General features: G+C 53.3%; 1 long non-coding RNA gene across 1 annotated transcript, besides 7 other annotated features; it reads left to right on the forward strand.

Annotated features, from left to right (window-relative positions):
* Positions 1 to 151: 151 nt before the first annotated feature.
* On the forward strand, positions 152 to 19,097 carry LOC124903390 (uncharacterized). The gene is made up of 2 exons (XR_007064356.1): positions 152 to 1,145; positions 10,369 to 19,097. It is a non-coding gene; the product is annotated as an uncharacterized LOC124903390 (long non-coding RNA).
* Positions 4,204 to 4,377: a silencer, noted in NCBI's record as "fragment chr14:103213106-103213279 (GRCh37/hg19 assembly coordinates)". NCBI's record gives its function as "represses an EF-1alpha promoter that drives an FKBP-Casp9 reporter gene in an ReSE screen in K562 erythroleukemia cells {active_cell/tissue: K562}" and the evidence as "EXISTENCE:reporter gene assay evidence [ECO:0000049][PMID:32094911]".
* Positions 7,187 to 8,021: an enhancer, noted in NCBI's record as "H3K4me1 hESC enhancer chr14:103216089-103216923 (GRCh37/hg19 assembly coordinates)". NCBI's record gives its function as "activates a minimal SCP1, AML or CMV promoter by ChIP-STARR-seq in naive H9 embryonic stem cells {active_cell/tissue: H9 hESC(naive)}" and the evidence as "EXISTENCE:reporter gene assay evidence [ECO:0000049][PMID:30033119]".
* Positions 11,899 to 12,098: an enhancer, noted in NCBI's record as "active region_9078". NCBI's record gives its function as "activates an Ori minimal core promoter by ATAC-STARR-seq in GM12878 lymphoblastoid cells {active_cell/tissue: GM12878}" and the evidence as "EXISTENCE:reporter gene assay evidence [ECO:0000049][PMID:35858748]".
* Positions 12,169 to 12,338: an enhancer, noted in NCBI's record as "active region_9079". NCBI's record gives its function as "activates an Ori minimal core promoter by ATAC-STARR-seq in GM12878 lymphoblastoid cells {active_cell/tissue: GM12878}" and the evidence as "EXISTENCE:reporter gene assay evidence [ECO:0000049][PMID:35858748]".
* Positions 15,231 to 15,731: an enhancer, noted in NCBI's record as "H3K4me1 hESC enhancer chr14:103224133-103224633 (GRCh37/hg19 assembly coordinates)". NCBI's record gives its function as "activates a minimal SCP1, AML or CMV promoter by ChIP-STARR-seq in primed H9 embryonic stem cells {active_cell/tissue: H9 hESC(primed)}" and the evidence as "EXISTENCE:reporter gene assay evidence [ECO:0000049][PMID:30033119]".
* Positions 15,259 to 15,518: an enhancer, noted in NCBI's record as "active region_9080". NCBI's record gives its function as "activates an Ori minimal core promoter by ATAC-STARR-seq in GM12878 lymphoblastoid cells {active_cell/tissue: GM12878}" and the evidence as "EXISTENCE:reporter gene assay evidence [ECO:0000049][PMID:35858748]".
* Positions 21,919 to 21,998: an enhancer, noted in NCBI's record as "active region_9081". NCBI's record gives its function as "activates an Ori minimal core promoter by ATAC-STARR-seq in GM12878 lymphoblastoid cells {active_cell/tissue: GM12878}" and the evidence as "EXISTENCE:reporter gene assay evidence [ECO:0000049][PMID:35858748]".

Consider the following 22,031-nt stretch of genomic DNA (forward strand, 5'->3'; position numbering starts at 1 on the left):
ACCGGGTTCAAGCAATTCTCCTGCCTCAGCCTCCTGTGTACCTGGGATTATAGGCACCCGCCAGCATGCCTGGCTAATTTTTTTTTTTTTTTTGTAGAGACAGGTTTTCACCATGTTGGCCAGGCTGGTCTTGAACTCCTGACCTTAGGGGATCCACCCGCCTTGGCCTCCCAAAATGCTGGGATTACAGGTATGAGCCACTGTGCCCGGCAAGTTGACATATTTAATCAGGCTTCAAAAATACTTGGTCATTGTTGCTTTAACTACTGCTATGTCCCTTTCTGTCTTTTGTCACCTTCAGGGGCTGCAGGTCTACATTTCACATATGTCTCTGATGCTCAATTTTTGTTTTCCCCGCAGTATTTTTCTCTGTGTGCTTCAGATTGGATATCTTATACTGACCTGTCTTTGAGTTCCCTAATTCTACCGTCTCTATGTCCTGGCTGCTATCAAACCCATGCAATTAGTTCTCAATTTCAGATGTTTTATATTGCACTACTAGAATGGCCTTTTATTTATTTATTTTTATTTTTTTCAAGACAGAGTTTCACTCTTGTTGCCCAGCTGGAGTGCAGTGACTTGATCTCAGCTCACTGTGCACCCTCCATTTCCCAGTTTCAAGTGATTCTCGTGCCTCAGCCTCCCAAGTAGTTGGGATTACAGGTACCCGTCACCATGTCTGGCTAATTTTTGTGTTTTTAGTAGAGGTGGGGCTTCACTATATTGGGCAGGCTGGTCTCGAACTCCTGGCCTTGTGATCTGCCCACCTTGGCCTCCCAAAGTGCTGGGATTACAGGCATGAGCCACCACTCCCGTCCTAGAATGGCTTTTTATAGACTAAGTCTCCACTGAAATATTTTTATCTTGTCATATATCTTGCCCATTGTTTTCTCTATTTTCTTTAATATACAGAGCTGGAAGAAAAACTGGCAGAAACTCTGACATGAGAGAATTGCAGAAGGGATGAGACCCAAAATCGGCATATAAGCTTTGCTAAATCTCTGGCTGACCGCAAAACTATACATGAGCTGGCAGTGAGCAGAGATCGCGCCACTGCACTCCAGCCTGGGCGACAGAGCGAGACTCCGTCTCAAAAAGAAAAAAAAAGAAAGAAAGAAAGAAAGAAATGCCAAAGCAAATTTGGGGTAAGTGGAAATGACCCTAGATGGCATCTCAGTTCTACAGATAGAAATGAATAGCAACAGAAGGGTACATATGTGGGTAGACATATTAATAAAAAACCAGATGGGGGGCTGGTGGCAACCCAGCACTTTGTGAGGCCAAGGCAGGAGAATTTCTTGAGCCTGGGAGTTTGAAGCTGCAGTGAGCTATGATCGCACCACTGCCCTCCAGCCTGGGTGACAGAGCAAGACTCCGTCTCAAAAAAAAAAAAAAAAAAAAGTTACTATTTATTTATTTGTTATCATTATTTTTTTTTCTTTTTTTTTTTTTTTTTATTTGACACGGAGTCTCGCTCTGCTCTGTTGCCCAGACTGGAGTGCAGTGGCGTGATCTCCGCTCACTGCAAGCTCCGCCTCCTGGGTTCACGCCATTCTCCTGCCTCAGCCTCCTGAGTAGCTGGGACTACAGGCGCCCACCACTGCACCCGGCTAATTTTTTATATTTTTAGTAGAGACGGGGTTTCACCATGTTAGCCAGGATGGTCTCGATCTCCTGACCTCGTGATCCACTGGGAGGACCTCGTGATCCACGCCTCGGCCTCCCAAAGTGCTGGGATTACAGGCGTGAGCCACCGCACCCGGCCTTGTTATAATTATTTTCTTTAAGAAATAATGTTTCAGTCTGTTGCCCAGGCTGGACTGCAGTGACGCAATCATAGCTGACTGCAACCTCAAATTCCTGGGCTTAAACAATCATCCTGCCTCAGCCTCCAATAGCTGGGGCTACAGGTGCATGTCATCATGCCCAGCTAATTCTTTATTTGTTTGTGTTTTTTTTTTGAGACGGAGTCTCGCTCTGTCTCCCAGGCTGGAGTGCAGTGGTGCGATCTTGGCTCACTGCAAGCTCTGCCTCCCAGGTTTACACCATTCTCCTGCCTCAGCCTCCCAAGTAGCTGGGACTACAGGCGCCCGCCACCACGCCTGGCTAATTTTTTTTTTTTTTTTTTTAGTAGAGACGGAGTTTCACCATGTTAGCCAGGATGGTCTTGATCTCCTGACCTCGTGATCCGCCTGCCTTGGCCTCCCAAAGTGCTGAGATTACAGGCGTGAGCCACTGCGCCCAGCCACACCCAGCTAATTCTTTTATTTTTTTAAAAAATTTTTTTTGAGATGGAGTCTCAATCTATCACCCAGGCTGGAATGCAATGGTGCAATCTCAGTTCACTGCAGCCTCTACCTCCCGGGTTCAAGTGATTCTCCTGCCTTAGCCTCCTGAGTAGCTGGGACTACAGGCACCCACCACCATGTCTGGCTAATTTTTGTATTTTTAGTAGAGATGAGGCTGGGCGTGGTGGCTCACGCCTGTAATCCCATCACTTTGGGAGGCCAAGGCAGGTGGATTACTTGAGGTCAGGAGTTCGAGGCCAGCCTGGCCAACATGGTGAAACTACTAAAAATACAAAAAAATTAGCTGAGCATGGTGGTGGGCGCCTGTAATCCCAGCTACTCGGGAGGCTGAGGGGGGAGAATTGCTTGAACCCAGGAGGCAGAGGTTACAGTGAGCTGAGATTATACCACTGCACTCCAGCCTGGGCAACAGAGTGAGACTGTCTCAAAAAATAAATAGGCCCGGTGTGGTGGCTCACGCCTGTAACCCCAGCACTGTGGGAGGCCGAGGTGGGCAGATCACTTGAGGTCAGGAGTTTGAGACCAGCCTGGCCAACATGGTGAAACCCCGTCTCTACTAATAATACAAAAATTAGCCAGGTGTGGTGGTGCACGTCTGTAAGCCGAGCTACTTGGGAGGCTGAGACAGGAGAATCGCTTGAACTTGGAGGTTGCAGTGAGCTGAGATTGCACCACTGCACTCCAGCCTGGTCGACAGAGAGAGACTCTGTCTTAGAAATAAATAAATAAATAAATAGTGGAGATGGGGTTTTACCATGTTGGCCAGGCTTGTCATAATAATAATAATAAAATAATAATTATTATTATAATTATTATGTAATTATAATAATTATTATTATTATTTTGAGATGGAGTCTCAATCTGTTGCCCAGGCTGGAGTGCAGTGGCGCAATCTCAGCTCACTGCAACCTCCACCTCCCGGGTTCAAGCAATTGATTCTCCTGCCTCAGTCTGCCAAGTAACTGGGACTACAGGCACCCACCACAACGCCCGGATAATTTTTTGTATTTTTATAGAGATAGGGTTTCACCGTGTTAGACAGGATGGTCTCAATCTCCTGACCTCATGATCGCCTGCCTCGGCCTCTCAAAGTGCTGGGATTACAGGCGTGAGCCACCGTGCCCGGCCAATTCTTTTATTTTTAGTAGAGACAGGGTCTCACCTGTTGCCCAGCCTGGTCTCAAATTCCTGGGCTCAAGCAGTCCTCCCACCTCGGCCTCCCAAAGAGCTGGCATTACAGGCGTGAGCCGCTGTGACCAGCCCTGACTTTACTATTTAAAGCGAAAATAAGAATGCTTTATTTTGTATGTATAATAAGTAGATGTGGTAGATGACTGCAGCAGCCCTGGCGATGGCGCAGGTGGAAATATTCTACTGCTCTATTTTACTTGAAGTAATTCAATTCTAATTCTGAGAAGACTGGGATTAGTTAAAATGCACATTTTCACCTCCAGTGCCATCACTAAAAAACAATAATGCAAACACATATAGCCAGAAATCCAATAGGAAATTGTGGAATACTAAAAAATATTGTATTAACACAAAAGAAGGCAGGAAAGGAGCAATAGACAAACCAAAAGAGATGAGACAAAATAAATATTAACATGGCGGACCCCACTCTACCTTAACTCCAGCCGAAATCCCACGTGGGTGAAACAAACCCTCCGATTAAAAGATCAAGACAGTCAGACCAGGCAGGGTGGAGGCGACGGTGTCTGGGAAGCAGGGGAAGCAGGCTGAGCCAGGGCTTGGAGGGAAGGAGCAGGGGTGGTCCCAGTGCCCATCTCTGCATGGCCAGGGCCACCCGGGCCACTCTGAGTCCCTGCAGGAAGAGCCGGGCAGGGACTCACGGTCCAGGGAGCCTGCTTCTGGGCTGGGGGAGGAGGTCTGCTCTGGAGGGCCAGGCACGGGTGGGGCAGGTCCTGAGGTGGGGGTTCCGCCTCTGAGCCTGATGTCAGCAGGAGATACTTGTCCTCCCCACCATTTCCTGGGCTGACTCTCGGGGTTGTCTCTACGGCCGGGTGATATGAGGCCTACACAGCGAACATAGGCCCCAGGCAGCTGCCTGCTGGGTGTGTACGTGGCGGTTCCTCGGGTACACGAACTAGCAGGAGTGACTGTGGAGGCAGCCAGGACGTGTGTGCGTGTGTGTGTGTGTGTCTGTGTATGTGTATATGTGTGTGTGTGTCTATGTGTATGTGTATATGTGTGTTTATGTGTGTATATATGTGTGTATGTGTATGTGTACATGTGTGTATATGTGCGTCCCTGGGCGCGTGGATGCGCCCTCCCCTCCCCTCCCCTCTCCTCCATCCTGTCTGCCTCCTCCATACCTAGCCAGGGGCTGGTACGCAGGGAGTCCCACGCCTGCTGGCTGAAGGGTGGGGCTTGTGCTTCCGCCCATGGGCAGCTTTGCCAGCGCAAGGAGTTTCTCACCTGCAGCGGCCCCCGTGCATGAACGCTGACGCCTGTGACACCACGGTTTGTGCTCAATGGATGCCTGATGCCCTGGAGAGGGAATGGCTTCTTGGGGACAGCAAATTAGCCTGTGAGTCAGCTTCTTGAGGGGGCATGTGGGGTTCTCCTGCTCCCAAATCTGCACCTTCTGGTGATGTGCACGGCGCAGCCCTAGCCCCAGACCGTCTGCCTGTGCCCGTTCCCAGGTGCCTGCTGTTTCGGGCCTCTTGACTGTAGACCTGGAGCCGCTGCTCACACTTGCGAAGACAATGGAAGGCCAATCCCCACCCCCACCCCTGCTCTTCTGGCCATGCTAGGAATGGTCATAAGGTGTGATATTTTGAAAACATGAGCTGTATGTCCAAGAGTGTGGCCCGGCCCGCTACACTGGCTGTCTGGCGCCCTGGCTGCTGTATTTTGGTGACTGAGCCTTTTTAGCTTGCAGAGCATGTCACTTCCAAGATGTTTTGGACTGAAAAACCAGCATGCAGAGGCCTATTCTTATCAGCTATCCAGGGACACCGGCTGTGCCTGGGGGGCCTGGATGGGGGTCCCAGACTCTGTCCCCTCTGTGACCTAGGACTGACACACTCATGACCTGCCTCACCCATTCACATGGCCCAGCTCTCGTCCACCTTTCTTTTTTTTTTCTGTTTTTGAGACAAGGTCTCAATCGGTTGCCCAGGCTGGAGTGCAGTGGTGAAATCACTGTAGCCTCAACCTCCTGGGCTCAAGTGGTCCTCCCACCTCAGCCTCCTGAGTAGCTGGGGACCACAGGCATGTGCCACCAGGACTAATTTTTTTTGTTGTGTTTTTTGAGACAGAGTCTCGCTCTGTCGCCCAGGCTGGAGTGCAGTGGTGCGATCTCGGCTCACTGCAACCTCCACCTCCTGGGTTCAAGAGATTCTCCTGCCTCATCCTCCTGAGTAGCTGGGACTACAGGTGCGTGCCACCAGACCAAGCTAATTTTTGTATTTTTAGTAGAGATGGGGTTTCACCATGTTGGCTAGGCTGGTCTTGAACTCCTGACCTTGTGATCCGCCCGCCTCGGCCTCCCAAAGTGCTGGGATTACAGGCGTGAGCCACCGCTCCCGGCACAGGGACTAATTTTTTTTTTTTTTTTTTTTTTGAGACGGAGTCTTGCTCTGTCACCCAGGCTGGAGTGCAGTGGCACAATCTTGGCTCACTACAAGCTCCGCCTCCCGGGTTCCCGCCATTCTCCTGCCTCAGCCTCCCAAGTAGCTGGGACTACAGGCGCCCACCACCACGCCCGGCTAATTTTTTTAGTAGAGATGGGGTTTCACCGTGTTAGCCAGGATGGTCTCGATCTCCTGACCTCTGGTGATCTGCCCGCCTTGGCCTCCCAAAGTGCTGGGATTACAGGCGTGAGCCAGCGCGCCCAGCCCACAAGGACTAATTTTTTTATCTTTTGTAGAGAGAGGGTCTTGCTATATTGCCCAGGCTGCTCAAGTGATCTGCCCGTCTCAGCCTCCCAAAGTGGTGGGATTACAGACAGGTTCAAGCCACTGTGCCTGGCCTTATCTACCTTTCAACTCCCTTCACACTGCTGTCCCTGCCCCGGAAACATTGGCCACAGGGGCTAGTCCTCTGTTGACCCCCTCAGCCAGGCTCCAGGTCCAGCCACCCGCTGTCTGCAGCACACACCTTCCCATCACCCTGGGAGGGCTGCGTGGCACCCATGGTGTGAGAGAGGAGGCTGCGCCTGAGAGGTGCGTTAGTGAGCCTGACACACAGCCTGTGTGTGGCCTGGAGACCACTAGTTCTGGCTCTGAAGTCCACTGGGGCTCTGGGACCTCGGTGGGCCCTTGAGTCCGTGTGGCTTGACCCTTGGTTGTTTGGGGCCTGCTTCCCAGCTGCCAGCAGAACTGGGGCTCCCGTCCTCACTCCTCCTGCAGCTCAGCTCCAGAGCTCCAGGGGCCTGGGCCCTCTGCCCAGCTCATCCTCTGCTCCCAGTAGGCAACCCCCCCACCCTTGAGAGGGGGTTGCCCTATGCCTGTCCCTCTGGGGTCTGCTTGCCTATTCCTGTCCCAGCACCTGCCGGGTGGTCAGGTGGAGTGGCTTCAGGGGCAAGGCCCCCGCTATTTTTAGCACTTTCGGCTCCTGTAAACACCTCTCCCAGCCTCTCTGGCCCTGGAAGCCTCTCCTCCCCAGCACAGCCGGGACCGCGGCTGTCACACGCCCCTGCAAGGCCTGGAGGAGGGTCCCTGAAACTTCGTGCAGCACCCGCCCTCTCCTGCAGCAGAGATTGGCGCTGCGTTCCCAGCCCCTTCAGCTGCTTCTCCCCAGAGCCAGGTGCTTGGGTCCAGCCGTGCGGTGTGGACCAGGCCATGCTTGGGGACGACAATCGAGGCAAGTCCTACCTGCAGGAATCGGTGTGCTGAGAAGCAGGGCTTTGCACACAAGCTATATGTGTTGCCACACAGCCACCACTGCCATCCTAGGGGAGCAGCGGGCCACTGCCAGGCATCCCACACCTCCCTGCGTGACAGCAGCCTGGCCAGCTTTGAGCAGCCCTGAGCCTGTGCGGGGACAGCTCTTGGTGTTCCTGTTTTGCATTACCTTTTCACTGTTTGTTGAGACAGCCCAGGCAGCATCTTGGGGGCTAATCCCGGGGGCTGAGTCGCTGGAGAGGGGTCAAGGGGAGTGGCCTGTGGCTGCCATTAGTGCCTGTCCCTGTGGCCTCGGTCCCCGCGGCCTCGGTCCCTGCAGCCGCAGTGGCGCCTGCATGGAGGGGGCCCCCTAATCATGGTGCCTCGGCTGTGGAATGTTCTGGGAGCTAGTCAGAACGGACATGGCTGCCGCAGCTGACCCTCCCGCCTGGCGAACTCTTTCTGGCTAATTGTTCTGTTTGTTTGCCCAGAGCAGGTGGGGGCAGGGCCTCTTCCATCCATTATCGGCTCACATGGTGCCAGGGAGGCACCGTGTGCACACAGGCTCAGCATTTTGGTTTTGCTTGAATTAGCAAGAAGCAGCAGGGAGTGGGGTTTGAGATATCTGAATATTTGTGGCTGTGCAAACCCAGAATCAACAAATAATAATCAGCAAATCAAGAAAAATTACATCAACAATCAACAAATAATAATACACCAGGAATCCACTGGTTATGAGCGCAGCTCAGCACAGCGACATTTCTCAGCTCGTTGATGTCCCTTCCTCGGTGCGTGCTGAGTCGTTCCTGTGTGCCGAGGCCGGTGCGGGGTGCTGGGGCCCAGTCCCCTGGGTTCACAGCCCAGGCTGTGACAGAGGTGGGTTCTAAAGACTCCCGAGCTGGTGTGCAGTCTCTTCTTACACCCTTGTCCAGATGGCCGCGGGGCCCATCCTGCGCCCTAAAGAGCAGAGTCAGGGCCAGGAGCTGGGCACAGGCGGTTTTTCTGGGAGATGTTCCCAGGGGGTCTCCTGGGGAGAGGCTGGCTGGGGCCACTGCAGGTTGGGGGATGGAGCTGGTCACCTCTGTGGGAACCCAGGGCTCAGTCCCCCCAGGGACCATATGAAATCATATGTCATGCGCCTGAGGACAGCCGGCAGATGGTGGGGGGCTGGGTGTTTATCCAGGAACTCTTGACCCAGGGTTGAGGGTTGCCTTGGGGGTGACAACACTCCAGCACTTTCCACTGCAAAGGGTCCTTGCTGGCTGCAGAGAAACCAGGGAGCTTGGGGGTCAGTTCCACCCCTGGGCTGGTGTGGGCCTGACACAGGACCTGGCCCCGTCGGCACTGTCTGTCATGGCTGCGCAGAAATTGGGGTGCGGGACAGGGAGGCGGAGAGCAGTCAGACCTGGGCTCAGGGCCAGCCCCGCGAGTTCTTCAAACCCCATGGCATCTGGAAAAGGAGGCAACAGGGATCGGGCCTCGGTGGCTGATGTGACAGGTCTGCGGGCATAAGAGGCCCAGGGAGCAAAGGCAGCACAACCCTTCCAGCACCCAGAACGGCATGGCGGGGCCTGCAGACACAACCTTTCCAGCACCCAGAGCAGTGTGGCGGGGCCTGCAGAGAGCCTCCTGCGTGGCCTGTGCAGGGTGCAGCGCCCGCCGGCAAAGCCTGCACGATGGGGACAGAGCCCCCTCTGGACAGGGGAAGAGAAGTCCGGGCTGGGGATGGTCAGGGGGTGAGGCCTGAGGCCCCTGGAGCAAGTTACAGGGTTGTAACAGGAAGCTAGGGAAGTTTGCACTGTGCCACGCGAGTGCTTGCTAGGGCGAGCTCATGTCCTGGAACTGCACCCTGGTGCTGCGGGAGGCGGGAGGCAGAGGGCACAGTTTTGTTTGTTTGTTTGTTTGTTTGTTTTTCGAGATGGAGACTTGCTCTGTTGCCCAGTCTGGAGTGCAGTGGCACAATCTCGGCTCACTGCAAGCTCTGCCTCCCAGGCTCAAGCGATTCTCCTGCCTCAGCCTCCCGAGTAGCTGGGATTACAGGCGCCTGCCACCATGCCTGGCTAATTTTTGTGATTTTTAGTAGAGACGGCATTTCGCCATGTTGTCCAGGCTGGTCTTGAACTCCTGACCCCAGGTGATCCGGAAGGCACAGTTTTGCCTGTGGTTGCTGGAGGTCCCCGAGGGTGGCTCAGATGCCAGCACTGGCCCAGAGCTGTGTGGCCCTGGGCAAGTTACTTCTCCTCGCTGGGCCTCAGGGTTCCCATCTCTAAAACAGAGATGATGGGCCCTGCCCCGTGGGGCTGTAGTGAGGATTCAGCAAAATCACCATGGGGTGTGTGTCCCACAGGCAGGAGTGAGCATGGGGTGGGGGCAGCCTGTCCAGGGAAGCCAATAACAACCATCATCACAAGGCACCGCACCGCTGTGCTTCCCTTAGGACCCTCGTGCAGGGCTCCCGTGTCCTTCCACATCCCCTTCCCCCTTCCCTGCGAGAGCCTGAATCCTGGGAAGGGCCGCCTGGGCAGGCCTAGGCCCTCCTTGTACAGAGGTGGGAACTGGGGTGGGAGGGAGCTGGGGTGCCCCTAAGGGGCCAGTGGGTGGGAGGCGGGGATGAACACACATCCAGGGCAGGGGGAGCAACCCCTCTTAATCCAGGGCCAACACAGTGAGCATGCATGGCTTTTTCCCCCAATTTAAAATGAAAATAACTTTATTGAGACCCACGGACAAAACTTCTGTCCTCGTAATACTGATTTCCTGAGCTTATTTCTCAGCACTGGCTGCTGGGTCACAGTTCTCCTGAGGTGTGACTGAGCATCTGGTGGGCACTGAGCTGTTCTGGGCCCGGGCTGCAACGTGGCTGTGGGCTGCTTGGCCTGTGCGGGCTAGACACCAAGGCAGCCTGGGAGGCCCGCTGGAGTGGGAGGCCCGCTGGAGTGGGAGGCCCGCTGGAGTGGGAGGCCCTGATTCCTTCCCCAAAAACCTCGGGCTCTTGGCAGAGTCGTTTCCTCCCTGATTCGACCAGGGTTGAGTGCCATGGCCTCAGCACCAGAGGGACTCTTGCACTGGACTAGGTCCACGGGGACCCTCCCTGCCCCCGCCCTGCCCTGGGTCCTCCCTGGGCCCCCATCTGCTCCACTGCAGGGCACCCCTTCCCTTCCTCCTAGTCTTTCCCAGATGCCTGATGACTGCCTCACCCCCTCACTTCCTAGGAACAGTCCACCTGCTGCGTGAGGACTCTGGCCCCGCACGCCAGGGGAATGACTTTGTCTGAGGTCACCTGGAACCTCCCACTCAACAAATGCAGCTCGGGCCCTACCGGCCCCCATGGCCCTGAGGAGGGAATTAAAATGGGGCACTCCCGTCCTCAGGATGCTTTGCTCCATGTGCCAGAAGGCAGCCGTGACATACTGATTAGTTACAACACAGGTCTTTTACTATACACAGGCTAAGATGTCTGCCCTGTGCAGTGTCCCACCTGTGTAACCTTACAAGGCTGCCCCTTGTGCAGTGCACCACCTGTGTAACCTTACAAGGCTGCCCTTTGCAGTCCTCCTCCTGCTCTTCCTTGTAAGTGTTGAAGCAGTTGCTCATTAACGGTGCAATTCGGATCGTATCAGTGCATGTTTGTCACTTGAGATGTGCAAAGATCCCTACGCTGTGCTCACCCAGTGCCCTGCCTGGCACCAAGTAGGACACCAATAACTGTAGAATGAGCAACATTGAAATGTAAATGAGACTTTTTTTTTTTTGAGACAAGGTCTTGCTATGTCACCCAGGCTGGAGTGCAGTGGCGTGATCACTGCAACCTTGACGTCCTGTTCTCAAGAGATCCTCCTGCCTCAGCCTCCCGAGTAGCTGAAACTAGGCACACGCCACCACACCTGGCTAATTTTCATATTATTTGTAGAGACGGGGTTTTGCCATGTTACCCAGGCTGGTCTTGAACTCCTGGACTCAAGTGTTCACTCGCTTCAGCCTCCAGAAGTGCTGGGATTATGGGTGTGAGCCACTGTACCCAGCACTCGAATAAGACTCTTGTTAAGAGATGTTTGGAACCAACCCCACCAGGGTGAATGGAAGACATAATATCTATCTATGCCTCAGAATGTGCAGGAAAGAGAACACTGAATTGATTCCGCCAGCCCAGACTTTCTTCTCTTCTCTCTGTTGTCCATCACAACAACCTCACCCCACAAGACATCTCCACTCTCACCGCAAGACAGCAATGGCCACAAAGGGACCCACTTGGAGGACCTTGGCAGGATACTCCCCAGACATGCTGGCTGAGTCCTGCTCCAAACTCCGGCTTTTGGAGGTGATGAGCTCACTGTCGTCCAGCGGGGCCAAGTTCCCCATCCTAAGTATAGATGAAGTTGCATTCTTGGAATATATATAAATCCTTATTTTGGGATGGGCCTATTGGTGTCAGCGTCTGATGTCTGTGTGATTTTTTTTTGACCTGCGTATCAGCAGGATGGTGACACACCAGGAAGGTCGTAAACTGGTCCGTGTCACTGTGAACAACACTGGCCTAAGAGAGGAAGAAAATGCATTTGGAAAGCCCAGCACTTGGAAATCCATCTGGTGGCGGGGAGCATGGAAAGGATCTGGTGGCCCCGAAGAGTCACTCAAGGACACAACGGAGCCAAACACCCTTTTTCATTTATTTGGATAGGTGGAATTTAGTTTTAATTATTTAAGAGAATACTTCATGAGATATTTTCAAAGAGAAATGGGATCTTAATAATCTGGGGCTCATTACACTCCTAGGCCATGAAATCTTTATACATCTCTGCTGGAGGTGCAGAGCAGCAGCCGGGCCTGGAGGACTGTGAACTTGGAGCGTGAGTGAGCAGAAGGTGGTGGCTGTGCTGTGTTAGAGGCTTCATTTCCTTGTCTGGGGTCCTGAGTTCAAGGGTGAGGCCACTTCCCAGGTGAAGTCACGGGAAGGAGCAATTCCAACAATGGCCATTGACAATGAGGAGAACGGAGGCAGGCTGGACACAGTCACCAGACTGCGAGAGCCGGCCTGAGGAGACTTGGAAACTGTCCTCCGCCAACCTGGCTGAATTTCACTCTTACTAAAGTTAACCCCACTCGAAGACTGGGGAATTCCAGCACCTCAGGGGAGAGGCTGAGTTATTTTTGCAACCCCAAATTAAATGATGCATGGTCGCTGGCTGTGCATGCCACGGGGCTTGATTTCCATTCCCCTGATTCACTCTTCCCTCCTCCAGGGCGCTCAGGCTCATGGAAACTGAGGGAAGCTCAGGGCCCTGACGACCCACCAGGCCCTGGCCAGGACACTGCATCCTGCTGGAAAGGAATGCCCCGTGAGGGGCTCACGGTGGATTTTTAATCCCTGTTCAGGTTCCCTGCCCTCACCCGAAAGGCCCCCACCCTTGAGCTCCCCCGGCAGCCCTGCATCTCTCTGGGGTCTTCCCAGGATGTGCTACAGAAGCCCCAAGCTGCACACGACCCAGCTCCTCACAGGCCTTTCTCCCAGACCCACTCTCCTTAGGCCCCCTGCCCTGGGTGTCTGGGCCAGCCAGACCGCTTGCAGCCTCAGCAACCCCCAACAGCCAGCTGATCATCAAATCCTGTCAATGACAGATCCTGAGCCCACCTCAGACCAACCCCTATGACCCACTTGCCAGTTGGAGTCCTGGCCTCTACTCAGACCCTTGACATCACTGTCCTCCGGTCTGACTGGTGGCCACAGTGGCCACCCACTCTGCCTGCGCCTGCCTTGGTCCACACTACCAGGAGTTTCCTTCCTGAAGAGGATCCAAGGATCCCATCACACATCTCAGCAGCCTTTGCCTGGACCCCTCCAGATAGGATTCAGACCTGCCCCTGACCTCCCTACTGGCCCTCTGTGTCCTGAGCACATGGCACCCTGGTATCTCTCTGCCACAGCCCATCTTGGGTCTGCTGCCTGAAGACCCCTCCTCTCCTCCCGAGCATGGAGGGCCCTGGGTGATCTTAAGAGGCGGCGGAAGCATTGCCTCCTTTCAGAGCCTTAGCAACTTGATGGACGTTATGGAATAAATGAATGAGTTCTTCTCCAAAAGAGGGAGCAGGGGTTCTGTGTTCCTTCTGTCCACCATCATCACGGAATCAGAGCACATCTGAGATGGGGGGACACAGCAATCCTTTGCTCCTCTTCATTGATTACAGGGAAACTGAGGCAGAGGTGGAGCCAGCCCCTGGCCTCCTGACTCCCAGGACAGGCCAGAGGCTACGAGACCACAGCCTCCCGAAGGGGACTCCCAAACTGCAAGACCGGACCCTGGGCTCCCCATGGCTGGAGCAAATGCCTCTGTATGTCCTCCCTCTGGAAATTCCTCCCCGAGGGACCCTCCGGAGAGAAGGATGTGACACTAACTCAGGACTCTCGAGGGTTCTTGGGGCACCTTTGAGAAGAGTCCAAGGCACTAAAATAGACTGGGTTCCCAGGAGTAAACAACCAAAAGGCTTAGTTAGACTCCTACTTGGAAAGTATGCCTACCTGTATCCCTATGCTGCTTAAACACCCCACCTCAGCAGAACCCCGCTAGGCACTGGGGCCCGGGTTCCCTGCATCTCGCCCACTGTGTCGGCTAAGACCATTTCAGCTGCAAGTATGAAACCTGACACAAATGGCTTGCGTGATAAGGAAAGTAGTGGCCTTTTCCAAGGAAGGACTCTTGGCTCTAGGCTCACCAGTTTGGCCCCTTGGTGGCATCTGCCTCCCTGCCTCCCTCCCTCCCTCCCTCCCTCCTTCCTTCCTTTCTTCCTTTCCTCCCTCCCTCCCTCCTTCCTTATTTCTTCTTTCTTCTTCCTTCCTTTCTTTCTTCCGGCAGAGTCTTTCTCTGTTGCCCAGGCTGGAATGCAGTGGTGCAATCTGAGCTCACTGCAACCTCCACCTCCCGGGTTCAAGCAATTCTCCCATCTCAGCCTCCTGAGTAGGTGGGATTACAAGGGTGAGACACCATGCCCGGCTAATTTTTGTATTTTTAGTAGAGACGGAGTTCTGCCATGTTGGCCAGGCTGGTCTCGAACTCCTGAACTCAAGTGATCCACCCGCCCCAGCCTCCCAAAGTGCTGGGATTACAGGCGTGAGCCACCACATCTGGCTGGCTCTTGGTGGCATCTTGAAGGCCATTTTCTCACCCTTTATCTCTGCCAAGCTCAGTAGATAGGATTCTGTGTGTCTTCTTTTGACCCAACCATCAGCAGCAGCAGGGAAGGCATCTTTGCCTCTGTCTTTTCTTTCTTTTTTTTTTTTTTAGATGGAGTCTTGCTCTGTCTACCAGGCTGGAGTGCAGTGGCGCGATCTCGGCTCACTGCAAGCTCTGCCTCCTGGGTTCACGCCATTCTCCTGCCTCAGCCTCCCGAGTAGCTGGGACTACAGGCACACACCACCACGTCCAGATAATTTTTTGTATTTTTAGTAGAGACGGGGTTTCACCGTGTTAGCCAGGATGGTCTCGATCTCCTGACCTCGTGATCCGCCCGCCTCGGCCTCCCAAAGTGCTGGGATTACGGGCGTGAACCACAGCACCCGGCCTTGCCTCTGTCTTCTTATCAGCCAAGAAGCCTTTCCCAGCATTCCTCAATAGCCACCCCTCACATCTCATTGGCTAGGATTGGGTCACATGCCCCAGGCTAAGCCAATCATTGTCTAGGAGAATCATTGGCTTAGCCAATCAGAGCCTATGCCTGAGGCACACAGGGCAATGCCTAGACCACAGGACAAAATTGGGCTTTGTCAGCAAGGAAGGAGGGGTGGCTGTTGGGTGGCCTGTGAGGCTGTCACCCATGTCCCCTCGCTTGTTCTGACAAAGGTTTTCATAAAAGAGCCACTTCTAGCCTGTCGTGGTGGGACCCTCAGATGTCCCTGTGCCCTCCAGCGTCTGGGCAACCTGAGGTTCTGGTAGGAGGAGAAGGCTACTTTGTAGAAGTCTGGAGGGCCTGGAAGAAGACATCTCTGCCCAGACAGTCCATTTAGTGTAGCTCGGGCCACCCCTTGCCATCCCGTGTCTAGCAGGTGGCCTGGTGAGTGTGGACTCGTCAGGAGCCGGGCCTCTCTTCCTGCTATCGCCCTCAGTCCAGCCGTGAGCTCAGCCACCACCTCACCAGTGCACACATCGGCCAGACAGCCACCAGCATTGCCTGCCTTGGGTGCCATGGGGGTTTGGCCTGAACTCTTCACCAAGCGCGGCTCACGAAGGAGCTCACTTCATCCTCACACCAGCCCCAGGCGTTGCTGACATCCAGAGCTGGGGAAAGGGCAGGACAGAGGTTGAAGGAAGTCACCCAGAGTCCCACAGCTGGAACGTGGGGGAGCTGGGATTCTAACCCAGGGCTCACACTGTCGCCCACACCCATCCAGGTGAAAGTTTGTTTTAAAAATTACATATAATTCACATGCCATGAAATTCACTACTTTTAAGTGTACAATTTAGTGGTTATTTACAAGGTTGTACAACTACCATCATAATCAATTTTAGAACAAGTTCATCACCCCAAAACGAAACCATGCACTTCTTAGCAGTCACCCCTTCCTCCCCGCAGCCAGCCCCTGTAAACCACGAATCTACTTTTTGTCTCCAGGGACTTGCCTATTCTGGACATTTCACATAATGTGATTTTATGGCATGTGGTCCTGGGTGCATGGAAAATCTTCCTTGACTTCGCATAATGTTTCATCCTTGGTGTGGCCTATGTCAGTGCATTATTCTTTTTTTTCGTTTTTTTTTTTTTTTTTTTTTTTTGAGATGGAGTCTTGCTTTGTCGCCCAGGCTGGAGTGCAGTGGCACAATCTTGGCTCACTGCAAGCTCCACCTCCCAGGTTCACGCCATTCTCCTGCCTCAGCCTCCCAAGTAGCTGGGACTACAGGTGCCCGCCACCACGCCCGGCTGATTTTTTGTATTTTTAGTAGAGATGGGGTTTCACCGTGTTAGTTAGGATGGTCTCAATCTCCTGACCTCGTGATCCGCCTGCCTCGGCCTCCCAAAGTGCTGGGATTACAGGCGTGAGCCACCGCGCCCGGCCTCTTTATTCTTGTTATTGCCAAATAATATCCCCCTGTGTGAGAAGTCCACATTGTGTTTATTTGGTCATCAGTGGATGGACATTTGGATTGCTTCTACGCCCTGGCTCTTGTGAGTAACCCTGATGTAAATATGTGTGTACATGTTTTGTTTTGTTTTGAGACAGAGTCTTGCTCTGTCGCCCAGGCTGGAGTGCAGTGGCACAATCTCAGCTCACTGCAACCTCTGTCTCCCAGGTTCAAACGATTCTCCTGCCTCAGCCTCCCAAGTAGCTGGGACTACAGGCACCCGCCACCACTCCCAGCTAATTTTTGTATTTTTAGTAGAGACGGAGTTTCAGCATGTTGGCCAGGTTGGTCTCCATCTCCTGACCTCGTGATCTGCCCACTTCAGCCTCCCAAAGTGCTGGGATTACAGGCGTGAGCCACCGTGCCCGACCGTGTGTACATGTTTTCGTGTGGACAGGTGTTTGCATTCTTCTAGGGCAGGTGCCCGGGAGTGGGATCTCTGGGTGGAAGTCATTTTGACAAAATGAAAGCGCATCTTTATTTAAGAGGCTATTGAGTGGCATCAGAGTGTCCTGAGCACTGGAGAGGGAGGTGGGAGTTGGAACTCTGATCTGGGCTGTACTGTGTGGTGACTATAGGACCTTGGTCAAAGGCCTTCTCTGAGTTGGTCACAATGACAAGGGGGCAGGAGTGGACAGGCCCAGCCCTTAGTGGATACTCGCATCCCCCAGCCCCTGGGGAAGGAGCTAAGGTTTTTCTGACACCTGTGCTGGGAGAGATGATGATACCCATCTAGAGGGCAGAGAAGGAACAGGACGTGGGCCTGAGCCCTGGCTCCCTGCCAGAGCCTTCTGCTGCTCAGAGCCAGGAAGACAGCATTTTCCTGCTGTAATCGCCACCAATTTTCATTTGCACTTGAATGTCTACCCCGTTTTACTCTATTGTATCTCCTTAGACTTGAAAGTAAACCTTAGCTCATTCTAATGAAAGCCATGCAAAGCTCAGCCAGAAATTTAATCGTATTTACTAAGAAGCTAATAAATATTTACTACAAAATTCATTGCTCCGTAAAATTGAAGACAACACTTTCTGCATGCTTTTTCAGCTGTGAGGCCAGGCTGGGGAAGAGGGGGAGACAGTCTGGGAAGGAGAGAGGAAGGATCCGACTTGTTTCCTTGTTAGAGCTAAACTGTGGTCTTCCCTCCAATGTTTTCTGCAATGGGAACCCATCACTTGCCATGACTTTGATCTGAGCTTGATCGTTTTATTCAGAAGGAAAGCTTTCCTACAAGCAATTCATTTCCGTTGCATTTCCAAACCAGATCTATTTGATTATGCATGGGAAGCTTACAACATTTTCCACTGAGACGGTTTTTGAATTAACTGAAAACTTAGCTGTTTCATAATTTCTGAATTGTAGATTTTTGGCTCCCCTTCTTGGTCTCATAACTCCATCGATGGGTCTTTTTAAATCTGAAATTTGCCATAGGCTGAGTCCTCAAAGAAAGATATATACCCTTGACATTTGAAAGAAATTAATGGAAAATCACTAAATCCCTTCAAATGCTACATCGAAATGTAGTTACAACTCTTTCCTCAGGCCCAGTGAGGATTGAATCATAGCAAAATCTTCATGTTTAATATTGAAATTTTATCCAGGAGACCCCCCCCAAAAAAATGCCTTGCAACGGGCAGCTCAGCATTTCCCAGACCTGCTGGGAGCGCTCTCTGGCTCTAACTTGGAGCTGTGGCAACTGGAAGATGAACCCGTGAACCTGGCTTTTCCCAAACTGCAAGTCTAAGGCTCCAGAGAAGTCAGAGCCCCAAGGGCTAAAGCATGAGCCATGGTTGGGGGTTCTCTGGAAACACACCAACAGCTGCTTCCCATTTGCCTCCAGAATCTTCAGGAGCTCAGAGCCTCTCAGTGTGTGTGTCACACCTGCTCACGTGCCGTTGGCTGAAGCAAGTGACATGGCTGGGCCCAAACGGAAGGAGTGGGGAGCAGATCCTCTCCGTAGAAGGAACAAAGTCAGATGCCAAGGGGCACGGGCGCAGAGATAGGAGGACGGTGCACCACCCTGCAGTCCGCACTGAGCCCTGCCAGCACCACATTCATGGGCTGCTGCACCCATTCCCTAACCGTGGTGAGTGCGGGCTGTTGACAGCACGCCCGCCTCCTTTTCAGAGCACGGCCTTGGCTGACAGGAGCCACACATCCTGGCTGTGCTCTTCCTCACTGCCTGGGAGTCACAGCCGATGGCTGGCCGGGCCCCCTTTCTTCAAGGCGGGGCAAAGCAGTGGTGTGGGCTGTGGTCCAGAGAGCACCTGACTTGAGCCTACACCCTTGCTCGGCTCTTTCCCCTTCCCCGTGCCGCTGTCTTCCCTCCCTCCCAGGCGTTTATTGAAGAGCCTTCCCTCAATAAGCCACGCGCCCTGAATCCCTGCTCCAGCTCCACTTCCCGGGACCTCCAGGGCCAAGGCGGTGCTTTCCAAGGGTGGTCCATGGTGTTTCCTGCCCAGCACGCTTTTCGACACTGCGGTCTGACGCTCCTTCTGAGATAGGGGAGGTCTGTGTCCCCTCCCCTTGAGTCTGGGCAGGCAGGTGACTTGCTTGTAGCCAGTGGGGTATGGCAGAAGTGACACTATGTGACGTCCGATGGTGGTCGTCAGTGTGGCACAGGAACACCTGCTCTCAAAGCTGCCAGACTGCCTGCCTGCTGCGAGGAGGCCGGGGGCACCCCTGTGGGCACACGCCTGGCCAGCCCCACACTAGTCAACTCCAGCCGTTGTCCGAAGGCAACTGCAGGACAGACTCCAGCTAAACCTTGCCCGAGTTCCTGACCCCCAGAAATCTGGAGAAAATAAAAAAAAGATCGTTGTTATTTAAGCCACTAGGTTTTGTTTGTTTGTTTTGTGTTTGTTTTTTTTTTTTTTTGAGACGGGGTTTCGCTCTTGTTGCCCAGGCTGGAGTGCAATGGCACGATCTTGGCTCACTGCAACCGCCACCTCCCCGGTTCAAGTGATTCTCCTGCCTCAGCCTCCCGAGTAGCTGGGATTACAGGCATGTGCCACCATGCCCGGCTAATTTTGTATTTTTAGTAGAGATGGGGTTTCTCCATGTTGGTCAGGCTGGTTTCAAACTCCCGACCTCAGGTGATCCACCCGCCTCGGCCTCCCAAAGTGCTGGGATTACAGGCGTGAGCCACCGCTCCTGGCTGAATGGTCTTTTTTCTCTGTTGGAAACCCTGGAAGCCTGCCCATTTCCAGAGGGCCTGAGGTGTCTCTGGGTCTCCTCTCAGACTTCTGCATCTCCAACCTGCTGGAGCAGGCCCACACCCTGGGCTGTGTGTCTCTGAAAGAGGAGCTGGAGTTTCAAGGACTAGGAGAGTGGGGAGGGGCCAGGAAACACGTGGCCCTGCAGTCAGAGCTCTCAGGAGTTGGGATTCTGTGTAGAGATGTTGGTGTTTATTCCCAGCCCTCAGGGGCTGCCCACTCTTCAGTCTTTGGGGGGAGGCTGAGGATGGTGAGCAGGTTGGGGGAGGAAGGGGGAAGCATGAGCAGGGTCGGGGACTGGTGGGGAAGGAATAGAGTGGTAGGGAATGGCAGGCATGGGGGGAATTGCAAGGGGGTTGTAGGGAGAATAAGGGAGGATGGTGGGGGAACTGGTTGGGGGAATGGGGGTAGAATAGGAGGATGGGGAGGGATGGGGGAAATGCTGGGGGGGAATGGTGGCAGGTATAAGGGGATGGGAGGGGTGGGTAGAGTCAGGGAATGGCTTGGAGGAAATTCCAGCACTTTTGAAATTTTCCCAACTTCAATGCATCTAAATGATGCTACTGGATTTTGCCTCGTTATGAAAAGCATTAGAAGTTGTATGTTTAGGGCCAGGCGCGGTGGCTCATGCCTGTAATCCCAGCACTTTGGGAGGCCGAGGTGGGCGTATTACAATGTCAGGAGATCAAGACCATCCTGGCTAACACAGTGAAACCCCGTCTCTACTAAAAATAAAAAAATTAGCCGGGTGTGGTGGCGGGCGCCTGTAGTCCCAGCTACTCGGGAGGCTGAGGCAGGAGAATGGTGTGAACCCGGGAGGCAGAGCTTGCAGTGAGCCGAGATTGTGCCACGGCACTCCAGCCTGGGCGACAGAGCGAGACTCTGTCTCAAAAAAAAAAAAAAAAAAAAAAAAAAAAAAGTTGTATGTTTAGGCTGATTTTTTATTATTATTATTATTCCTGACCAAATGTCAGAAATTCTATTGCATTTTTAGGGTTTCAGGTCCTTTGACTACCCACTGGCAGCTGGACACCCATTCAAGGGCAAAAAACCCCACAACCCACAGTTCTGAAAACAACGTCAGCGAATTCATGGCTGCCCCTCTTCAGAGTCCACGCAGAGGGTTATGAAGCCTGGGTGCAGTGAAGTTAAAGAGGTGGGGAGGAAAGGGGGCCACCGGCTCACATGTGTGGGGTTCACAGGAGGGCAGTGGCAATGACAGACCCCCAGCCCGGCTGGGCAACTTTGCAGGGTTTACAGTTTAACAGGCTCAGAAAAGACCCCGTTCTTCAACTGTACAGTGGACGGAGTGAACGAACGAATTTTTTTTTTTTTTGAGACGGAGTCTCGCTCTGTCGCCCAGGCTGGAGTGCGGTGGCGCCATCTCGGCTCACTGCAAGCTCCGCCTCCCGGGTTCACGCCATTCTCCTGCCTCAGCCTCCCGAGTAGCTGGGACTACAGGCGCCCGCCACCATGCCCGGCTAATTTTTTGTATTTTTAGTGGAGATGGGGTTTCGCCGTGTTAGCCAGGATGGTCTCAATCTCCTGCCCTCGTGATCCGCCGGCCGTGGCCTCCCAAAGTGCTGGGATTACAGGCGTGAGCCACTGCGCCCGCCCACGAACGAATATTTCAAAGACACACAGCAGACGTTACTCTTGATGGGTCCCAGAGCAAGCTCGATTCTTACTCATCCTTAAGAATGGTGAAAAAAAAATGGAATGCAGGCTGTGGACAAACTGGAGAATTTTTCTTTAATCCTATCCTTTTTTTTTTTGTTAATTTTTTTTGAGACGGAGGCTCACTCTGTTGCCCAGGCTGGAGTGCAGTGGCATGATCTCAGCTCACTGCAAGCTCCGCCTCCCAGGTTCAAGCGATTCTCCTGCCTCAGCCTCCCAAGTAGCTGGGACTACGGGTGCCTGCCACCATGCCTGGCTAATTTTTGTAGGGACAGGGTTTCATCATGTTGGTCAGGCTGGTCTCAAACTCCTGACTTCAAGTGATCTGTCCTCCTCAGCCTTCCAAAGTGCTGGGATTACAGGCATGAGCCACCTTGCCCGGCCTCTTTAACCCTATCCTAACTTTTGTTTTCTTTTGGGAATCAGGAGATGTCACATTTACCCAAATGAGTGCTAGGAAGAGGCATCCAAGTTCCACTTCCTAATTACCCTGGGAACTTGAGACAGCACACGCGTATTCAAATCATTTCCCCAGGGAGGACCAAGGCAGGGGGAGGCCCGGGGATGAATGTCATCCTTTCTGGGGGTGACCTGGAAGTGGCTGCTCAGAGAACTTCTGTTCTGGGGTGTTGGCTGCACAGTTCCGGCATTTGTAGTTGCAGAATGAGGTGCCCTAGTAGAAGAGCAAAATCCCCAAACGAAAGTTAGAGCATCCGATTTTGGTTCCTTAACCATCTGCAGGGAAATTTTGTAGTTTGCCACATACTCAAAAAGAAACAGCAAGGGAGGAAAGGCGATTTCCCGTGACCAAGCCGTCAGGGACAGCCACTCCAGGCTTCCTCCTGAGTGCTCAAGGGCCCAACCTGGCAGGGCCT

This window comes from Homo sapiens, chromosome 14 (assembly GCF_000001405.40).
Source record: "Homo sapiens chromosome 14, GRCh38.p14 Primary Assembly".
In the NCBI taxonomy this organism is placed as follows: Eukaryota; Metazoa; Chordata; class Mammalia; order Primates; family Hominidae; genus Homo; species Homo sapiens.